We start from the raw sequence: 10204 nt of genomic DNA, 5'->3' as shown, positions 1-10204 counted from the left end.
AGAACAGGAGAAGGCTCTGAAACAAGTCCAGGCTGCTGTGCAAGCTGCTCTGCCACCTGGGCCATATGACCCAGCAGATCCAATGGTGCTTGAGGGGTCAGTGGCAGATAGGGATGCTGTTTGGAGATGTTGGCAGACCCCAATAGGTGAATCATGGAAAGGGAAAAGGTTTGTCCTTGCTGGAATAGACACTTAGTCTGGTTATGGGTTTTCCTATCTTGCACACAATGTTTCTGCCAAGACTACCATCCATGGACTCACGGAATGCCTTATCCACCATCATAGTATTCCACACAGCATTGCCTTTGATCAAGGCACTCAATTTAGGGCTAAAGAAGTGTGGCAGTAGGCTCATGGTTATGGAATTCACTGCTCTTACTGTGTTCCCCATCACCCTGAAGCAGCTGGACTGATAGAATGGGATGGCCTTTTGAAGTCACAATTACCATGCCAAGTAGGTGACAATACTTTGGAGGGCTGGGACAAAGGTCTCCAGAAGGCCGGGTATGCTCTGAATCAGCATCCAGTATATGGTACTGTTTCTCCTGTAGCCAGCATTCACGGGTCCAGGAAGCAAGGGGTGGAAGTGGAAGTGGCACCACTCACCATCGCCCCTAGTGATCCACTAGCAAAATTTTTGCTCCCTGTTCCCACAACATTATGTTCTGCTGGCCTAGAGGTTTTAGTTCCAGAGGGAGGAACGCTGTCACCAGTACACACAACAATGATTCCATTAAACTGGAAGTTAAGATTGCCACCTGGACACTTCAGGATCCTCCTACTTTTAAGTCAACAGGCTAAGAAGGGAGTTACAGTGTTGGCTGGGGTGATTGACCCAGAATATCAAGATGAAATCAGTCTACAATTCCACTCCACAATAGAGATAAGGAAGAGTATGCACGGAAGACAGGAGATCCATTAGGGCATGTCTTAGTATTACCATGCTAGTGATTACCATGCTGTGATTAAGGTCAATGGGAAACTAGAACGGCCCAATCCAGGCAGCACTACAAATGGCCCAGACCCCTCAAGAATGAAGATTTGGGTCACTCCACTAGGAAAAAAAATACAGCCTGCTGAGGTACTTCCGGAAAGCAAAGGGAATACAGAATGGGTAGTAGAAGAAGGTAGTCATCAATACCAGCTATGACCACATGACCAGCTGAAGAAACAAGGACTGTAATTGTCATGAGTATTTCCTACTTCTTTTGTTAAAAACATGTTTGTGCATGTATACACTTGTACTAAGAAAATATCTTCATTTTATCTCCTTTCTCCTTTATCATGTGACATAAGATTTATTGCCTTCACATCAGCATTTAAGTATTGTTTGCTTTATGTAATAGTATTTGAGTTAGGGATTGGTGCATTTCCCCTTGTATGAAGGATTGTTGTATTATGTTAGGCATAATTATGACCTTATTATTGTCTTTATTTGAAGATTATGTGTACTCTCAGGAGATGTGTATGGGTTCAAGTTGACAAGGGGTGGACCTATGATGGTTATTACTGAATGTCAACTTGATTGGATTGAAGGATACAAAGTATTGATCCTGGGTGTGTCTATGAGGGTGTAGCCAAAGGAGATTAACATTTGAATCAGTGGGCTGGGAAAGGTAGACCCATCCTTAATCTGGGTGGGCACTATTTAATCAGCTGCCAGCATGGCTAGAATATAAAGCAGGCAGAAAAATATTAAAAGAGAGACTGGCCTAGCCTTCCAGCCTACATCATTCTCCTGTGCTGGATGCTTTCTGTCCTCAAACATCAGACTCTAAATTCTTCAGTTTTAGAACCTCAGACTGGCTCTCCTTGCTCCTCAGCCTGCAGACGGCCTATTGTAGGACCTTGTGATCGTGTGAGTTAATACTTAATAAACTCATATATATATATATATATATATATATATATGTTCCATTAGTTCTGTTCCCCTAGAGAATCCTCACTAATACACTTACTCTAGGTCAGTTAGACTCTGATAAAACCAGCAGGGTTATGTTCTTATTAAATAATTTCTCCCAAGTACAGATCTTGTTAAGAAAATAATGTTCTGGCATATATTAAAAAATGGCTCTTTTCTCCTCCCCCTGCTGGAAACATAAGACAGTTTTCTCTAATATTTACTGTGAAAACCTGGTTGAGCCCCAGGAGGTAAAACTCAAAGAAGCATGAGGGCCCCTATGACTGGGTTCCTTCAAGTTTTTAACTCTCAGACTTGTCCAAACTGAGACTTCAACAGTTTATCAAGTATAGTTCAGGTGTTCTACCCTGTTACTAGTTACCATGGCAATTTCTGTTTATGAGCCTTTAATCTGGTGAACTATGATTCTCTTTATTCGTTGTCTGTTCCTGCAATCTTGGAGAAAGCAGTTTGCCTTGAATCCTCACTTCTTTTACAGATCAAATAAGAGTTGTGATCTCTCAGTTTTTGTTTGTTTGTTTGTTTTGTTTTGTTTTGTTTTGTTTTTGAGATGGAGTTTTGCTCTTGTTGCCCAGGCTGGAGTGCAATGGAATAATCTTGGCTCACTACAACCTCTGTCTCCTGGGTTCAAGTGATTCTCCTGCCTCAGCCTCTCGAGTAGCTGGGACTACAGTCGCATGCCACCACATCCAGCTAATTTTTTGTATTTTTAGTAGAGACAGGGTTTCACCATGTTGGCCAGGCTGGTCTTGAACTCCAGACCTCAGACGATCCACCTGCCTCAGCCTCCCAAAGTGCTGGGATTACAGGAATGAGCCACCTCACCTGACCAATCTCTCAGACCTTTTAGCTCTTAACTTGTTAGAATAAAGTGTAACTTTCAAGCTCCTTACGTGCAGAACCGAAAACCAAAAGTTGCTTTTGTTTTTGAAAGAATTTGCTTGATATAGAATTCTGAGTTGACAGTTTTTTTCCCCACAATGGTATTCCACTGTCTTCTCACTTGCATTATCTCTGATTAGAAATCTGCTGACATTATTTTTTTTAGTTACTCTGTATATAATTTTTTTTCTTTAGCTTCTAAGATTTCTACTTATTACTGGTCTTGAACAATTTAATTATCACATACCTTGGTATAGTTTTCTTTTTAAAATATTTCTAATCTTAGAGTGTGTTGCATCTCTTGAATCTGCAGGCTTATAGTTGCGTAGATTCAAGAAAGTCTGAGAAAGTCTTTATTTCTCCTTGACTTTTGAAGGAAATTTTACAGGGTATATTTACTGTGAAAACTTGGTTGAGCTTCTGGAGGTAAAACTCACAGAAGTTTGAGGGCCCCTATGAGGAGGCCTCCTGGAGTTTTTAACTCAGACTTGCCCACACTGAGACTCCAGCAATTTATCAGTTTGAATCCTCACTTCTTTTACAGTTCAGGCTGAGGCAGGAGAATCACTTGAACCCAGGAGGCAGAGGTTGTAGTGAGCCAAGATTATTCCATTGCTCTCCAGCCTGGGCAACAAGAGCAAAACTCCATCTCAAAAACAAAACAAAACAAAACAAAACAAACAAGCAAACAAAAACTGAGAGATCACAACTCTTATTTGATCTGTAAAAGAAGTGAGGATTCCATTTGCAGCTCAGGTTTTCTACCCTGTTACCAGTTACACTTTTCATCACAATTAGAAAGTTTTCAGCAAATATTTATTTAAATATTTTACTTCCTTCCCTTACCGTTGGGGCTTCCAGTTGCATGAATATTAGGGGGCTTGAGATTTTCCCACTGCTCACTGATTATTGTATTTGTTTTTTTCAATCTCTTTTTCTCTCTGTGTGTTTCATTTTAGATAATTTATATTGCTATACATTTAAATATACTATTTTTATTTTTCCAATGTTCAATCTGCCATTAATTTAATTGAGTGCATTTTTCATCTCAGACATTGTAGTTTTCACTGTTAGAAGTTCACTTTAGGTCTGTATTATATCTTCAACATTTCCAGTTAGCATATTAAATTTTTCCCTAGTTTTTAAACATATGGAATTCCTTTATAATAACTATAATAATTTCTTCTGATGATTTTTACAACTGTGTCAGTCCTGAGTTTCTTTGTAATTAATTTATTTTAATTTTTATTATGGATCATACTTTCATACTTCCTTGCATGCATTTTATATTAGTGTAAATTTTATGTTACTAGATGTTGAATACTTTTGTATTCCTATAAATATTATTTTACTTTGTTCTGGGATTCGTCACACTTAAGTGATAGAAGGATTTAATCTTTAGGGTCATAAGATTTATTAGGAAGCACCAAAATTAGCTGGGCGAGGTGGTGGGTGCTTATAACCCCAGCTACTTGGGAGACTGAGGTGGGATGATCACTTGAACCTGGGAGGCAGAGGTTGCAGTGAGCTGAGATCATGCCACTGCACTTCAGCCTGGGCAATAGAGTGAGACTCCATCTCAAAAAGAAAGACTGTTTTAGGGCTAATTCCTATTGAACACTAAGGCAAGAACCTGTTGAGCATTCTACCAAATGTGTCTGTGTCCAAATTTCACCTTTTTATGAGGACAACATCATAATGGATTGGGGCCCACCTACCTTAATAACCTTATTTTAACTTGCTTAAATGTAAATACTCTATTTCAAATAACATCACATTCTTAAGTACTCAGGGTTAGGACTTCAACATAAAAATTTTGAAAGGATACAATTTAACAACAACAAAAAAATCTACCTTCAAGTTTACTTGCTCTTTTCTTTGTCATATTTATTCTACTGAGCCGTCTACTGAGGTTTTTGTTTTGTTTTGGTTATTGTATTTTATAGTTATATGATTTCCATTTTTATAAGAATTTTCTTTTTTCATAAGATTTTTCTATGTTTTTATTTCAAAGGAATTTGTTTTTGCTTGTTGATTCATATTTATGCTGACTGCTTTAAAATCTTTGTCAAATAATTCCAATATCTGATTTATTTTTATGGTGGCATCTTTTATCTTTTATTATTCATGTTGTGATTTTTCTGGTTGTTGGTATGATAAGTGATATTCTATTGTATCCTGAACATTGTGTTAAAAGACTTTGGCTCCTATTCAAATATTTTCTTCATACAGGCAGTGATCTTGTTTGGGTTGGGCATGCAGCTCCCAGACTACTTTTGTGGGCTGTCATTCCAATGAGAGTTTAGTTTTCAGAAGTTTTGCAGTGCTATTTTGGCTTACTTTGTCTTGTTAAACCAAAGCTTCTACTAATCCCTGATGGTTCCCCCTGTAAGGATGGACAGCACTTCCTCTGGCCAGGTCCACAGTGACTTTAGATGAGGGAAGGCGGTCTCCAGCTTTCAGAGATGAAAAGCATTTCTCAAAGCCTAGGTGTTTGTTGTCAGCAGGACTCTCTTTGGTACAGGACGGAGTATACCTGGAATATCTTGTGCTGCTTGGTTGGTAGTTTAGATTCCAGACCCTGATCATCTGCTGCTGGAAGGGTATTTGTGATATCTTGGAACAATGTGTTATTTCTTTAGTTCTGCACCCCAGTCAGTCTGATTACCTCTTTCCATCATTTTCTTATGATTGTCTGTTTTATTATTTCCAGAGTTTATAGCTGTAATTAACGAGGAAGAGCATAGAGAGTCAAGTGTATGCCCTTTTGTCAAAACCAGAAGTTATGTATTTATTTTTTCTAAAAATATATTTTGTATTATTTAGATGGATCACGAGTGGAAGACGAAATGTGCACATAGGTTTGGTCTTTTTTAACTTGGACGCTGAAGACTGAGATTTTTTCTGATGCATTTTTTTTCACAGTGGAGTTGCTTGAGAACAAATATTTGCATCTATGCTTGGTTTTAATGATTATTAATTGCTATCATAGATTACAAGGTGGGGGACTTCTGTGAGCAAACAGTTGTGAACTATTGGGAAGCTGAATGAGGAAAGGCATAGATAATGAATGAAGTTTGTAAAGCAAAAGAAGTAAAGATATCCCAAAACTAAATAAGGTGCTGTGATATCTTCTTGGGGGAGGGGGCTATTTTCTCTATGTTTTAATGGCTCCAGTCAAATATATCTACTGCTTCACTTGTAGGAGTATAAGCTATTATGTCTTTCTCTTACCTAGGCATGAAACACATTAATAATTTTATTAAAATTAAAAAAAATTTTTGATTAGCCTGTGTTAGTGGTAAGGCTATTTTTATTAATTTAGAGATATTTAATTTTGTTAAACCAATTGGAATTATCAACAAGTTCCTGTTCACAATAATCAATTTGAAAAAACTTTTAAAATGCCTTTCAGCACTAATTAGGTATAAAATATTTCTCCTAATAGCCACCAACGTAAATGGCTTTCATTTTAAATTTCTATAGCACGAGATTGCCTCATCTGTTACTATTTGGAGTCTCTCAAGGGAGAAAGGAATTTCAAAGGTTGTTACTAAAATCACTTATGAGTTCATGAGATTTATAGTTACATGGGCTTTATTTGGAAAAACAGCATGTCACTTTCAAATAGTAAACTTTAATTAGCATGAATAAAGTTTTATGTAAATCAATTAAAAGACATCTAAGTCCCTCATATATGCCCTGTATTCTGACAGTCTGTGGGAAATGTACATAAGACAGGGTATTTTTTATTGCTCATGGCCTGGATTTGGAGATAATAGATGCACATTTGAAATTATTAATTGAGAATCTGGAACACTGACCATCAGTAAGTAATGAGTCCAGGGAATGAGATATCAAGTAAGTGTGTACTGGAGTAGTCAAGAAAGGCTTTTAAGAGCTGGTATTTGAAAGAAGATAAGCTTTGAAATGGTGTAAGAGAGACAGGAACACCCCAAGAGAGACATAACAGACCAGACCCAGAGGTGAGAAGGAATTTGGCTGATGTTTTCTAAATGGAACACAGCAGCATACTATGGAAAGGGGTAGAGGTTTAGGGAGAGGTAAGGATGGGTCATGAGGGCAAAGAGGTTGGAAAACATCCTGATATCCTAAAAGAAAATAATATTCATGTTTATCAGGGGATGTGAGTTCCCTTGGGACAAGAATTGACTTGTTCTATATTCCCAGCATCTGGCCTTCAAAGCATATTGAATGGATGTATAAGAAAAATGGAAAATCTAAGTTATTTACTCAGTTCATGGATAGAATTATCATGACTCTTCACCTTCTCTTCCTCCTTGTTTTTCTTTTTCCAAATATTCTAATTCCCGCTACTTTGAGCCCAGCCTTTCCTGGAGTTACATTGCACTGAATGTGTAAAGGTACTTTGAAGTGAGACAAACCTACTTAAAAGTTGCTTTTATTAGAACTTTGAGTTAAATTTCCCTTCTACAATTCTAAAATGGGTTCCTATCTTTCTTCTTTATGACTCATTTCCATGATGATTTTCCTTTTATCTCATTTTTTATGACAAATGCTTGCTCTGAAAACCCAGCCCTGAAACATGTATATGTATTTTAAATTGCAGGATTTTTACTTAGACTTTTAGTGATGTATTTACAAAAATGTTATTTCTGAGCAAAAGCCATACATACATATAGCTGTATTTTTCATATTTACTTTATATACATATTTTCTATACATATATGCATGTATTCTTTATTTTTTTATTTTATTTTATTTTTTTTTTGAGATGGAGTCTCACTCTGTCACCCAGGCTGGAGTGCAGTGGCATCATCTTGGCGCACTGCAAGCTCCGCCTCCTGGGTTCACGCCATTCTCCTGCCTCAGCCTCCCAAGTAGCTGGGACTACAGGCGCCTGCCACCACGCCCGGCTGATTTTTTGTATTTTTAGTATAGACGGGGTTTCACCGTGTTAGCCAGGATGGTCTCGATCTCCTGACCTCGTGATCTGCCTGCCTCGGCCTCCCAAAGTACAGGGATTACAGGTGTGAGCCACCGTGCCCAGTTGTATTCTTTATTTTTAAACAGTAATACTGGGCAGAAAGTATGGAGAGTTTCTACATACCCTCTCCCCACACTGACTCCCTGCCTTCCACACTACCAATATTCTGCGCCAGGGTAGTACATTTCTTACCTATATTGACAGATCATTATCATTGAATGTACATAGTGTACATATTAGGGTTTGCATCTGGTGTTATACACTTTATGTGTTTTGACAAATGTGTAGTGACATACATCCACCATTATAGGTTCTTCAGAATAATTTCACTGCCCTGATAATCATCTGTGGTCTGCCTGTCATCCCTTCCTCTGCCTCCCGCCCATCAACCACTGATTTTTTTTTCACTGTGACCTTAGTTTACCTTTTCCAGAAAGTCATATTGGATGTTGGAATCATGCAGTATTTAGCCTCTTCATATTGGCTTCTTTCACTTAGTAATATGCTTTTCGGGTTTTCTCCATGTCTTTTTATGGCTAGATAGTTCATTTCTTCTTAGTGCTAGATAATATTTCATCATTTGGATGTACAACAGTTTATCCATTCACTTACTGAGACATATCTTGGTTGTTTCCAAGTTTTGGCAGGTATAAAGAAGGCTGCATTAAATATCCATGTTCAGGTTACTGCATGGACACAAGTTTTACTTTCTTTGAATAAATACCAAGGTGCATGATTGTGGGATTGTATAGTGTGAATGTCTTTTTAAGAAACTGTAAAACTGTCTTCCAAAGCAAACCCTAAAGTGAACTATAAACTTCAAGTGATAACAATATGTCAATGTAGGTTGGTAAATTAACAAATATACTGCTCTGGCAGAGGCTGTTGACAATGAGGGAAACTGTGCAGATGCAGGGACAGGGGTTATATGGGAATTCACTCCCTGTACTTTCTGCTTATTTTGCTGCAAACCTAAAAACTGCCCTAAAAAATAAAACCTATTAAGAATAATAGTTTTAAAAATCTGAGGGAGAAAAGGAGGCTCTTAAAAAAGTAGAAACCTATAAATACCTAAATCTCCTGGGAGTCAGGGACAAGCATAATTTATCTTCCTGACCCTTCAACCTGCCAGTAACTAGTGATTGCTTGCTGAAGTATGACTATGGGATTTATTTAGTTTCCTTTGCATATTTTTAAAAAATATTTTTAGGCAGTACTGCCACATAAGTTGCCTGGTTCAATATTCACTGCTGGTAAGTCTTGTTTTTTTTTTTGAACTAAATTACCTCCTTCCTGGTTCTACATATCCCAAGAAGTCATTGATTGACTCAGTTTATTTAACTCCCAATCATATTAGAATCACTAAACAATGGGAATATGTGACACTGAACAATGGGCATATGTTCTGAGAAGGTGATTTCATCATTGTGGGAACATCCTAGAGCGTACTTACATAGACTTAGATGGCATAGCCTACTACACACCTAGGCTATATGGTAAAGCCTATTGTTCTGAAGCTACAAACCTGTGCAGCATGTTAATGCACTGACTACTGTAGGCAGTTGGAACTTAATGGTCAATATTTGTGTATCTAAACATGTTCGAACATAGAAAGGCACAGTAAAAATATATAAAAGATAAAAAATGGTACATCTGTGTAGGGCACTTACCATGAATGAGGCTTGCAGGATTGGAAGTTGCTCTGGGTGAATCAGTGAGTGAGTGACATTACTGTACTCTGCTGAAGACTTTATAAACATTATGCACTTAGGCCTCACCATATTTATTTTTAAAAGTGTTCCTTTAATAATAAATTTTAGTCTTAGCTTACTGTAACTTTTTTACTTTATAAACTTTTTAATTTTTTAAACTTTTTGACTCCTTTGTAATAACACAGCTTAAAACACAAACACATTGGACAGCTGTGCAAAAATGTTTTCTTTCTTCATATTCTTATTCTATAAGCTTTTTTCACTATTTTTAAAATTATCATTTATTTTACTTAATAAACTTTTTTATTAAAAACTAAGACACAAACATACACATCAGCTTAGGCCTACCCAGGGACGGGATCATCAATATCACTGTCTTCCACCTCCACATCTTGTTCCACTGGAAGGTCTTCAGGAACTGTCATCTTCTATGATAATAGTACCTTCATCTGGAGGATATAAAAGTATACTCTAAAGTAACCATAAAAATTACATAAATCAGTAACATAGTCATTTATTATCATATCAAGTATTATGTACTTGATAATATAATGTATGTAATTTTATGTGCTACACTTTTATATTACTAGCATCACGGTAGGTTTCTTTATACCAGCATCACCACAAACATGTAAGCAGTGCATTGCACTACAACATTAGGACAGCTATGACCTCATTAGGCGATGGTAATCTTTTAGCTCCATTAAAATCTTATGGGAC

The sequence above is a fragment of the Homo sapiens genome, chromosome 10 (assembly GCF_000001405.40).
Source record: "Homo sapiens chromosome 10, GRCh38.p14 Primary Assembly".
Classification (NCBI taxonomy): domain Eukaryota; kingdom Metazoa; phylum Chordata; class Mammalia; order Primates; family Hominidae; genus Homo; species Homo sapiens.
This window is presented reverse-complemented; position numbering follows the sequence as displayed.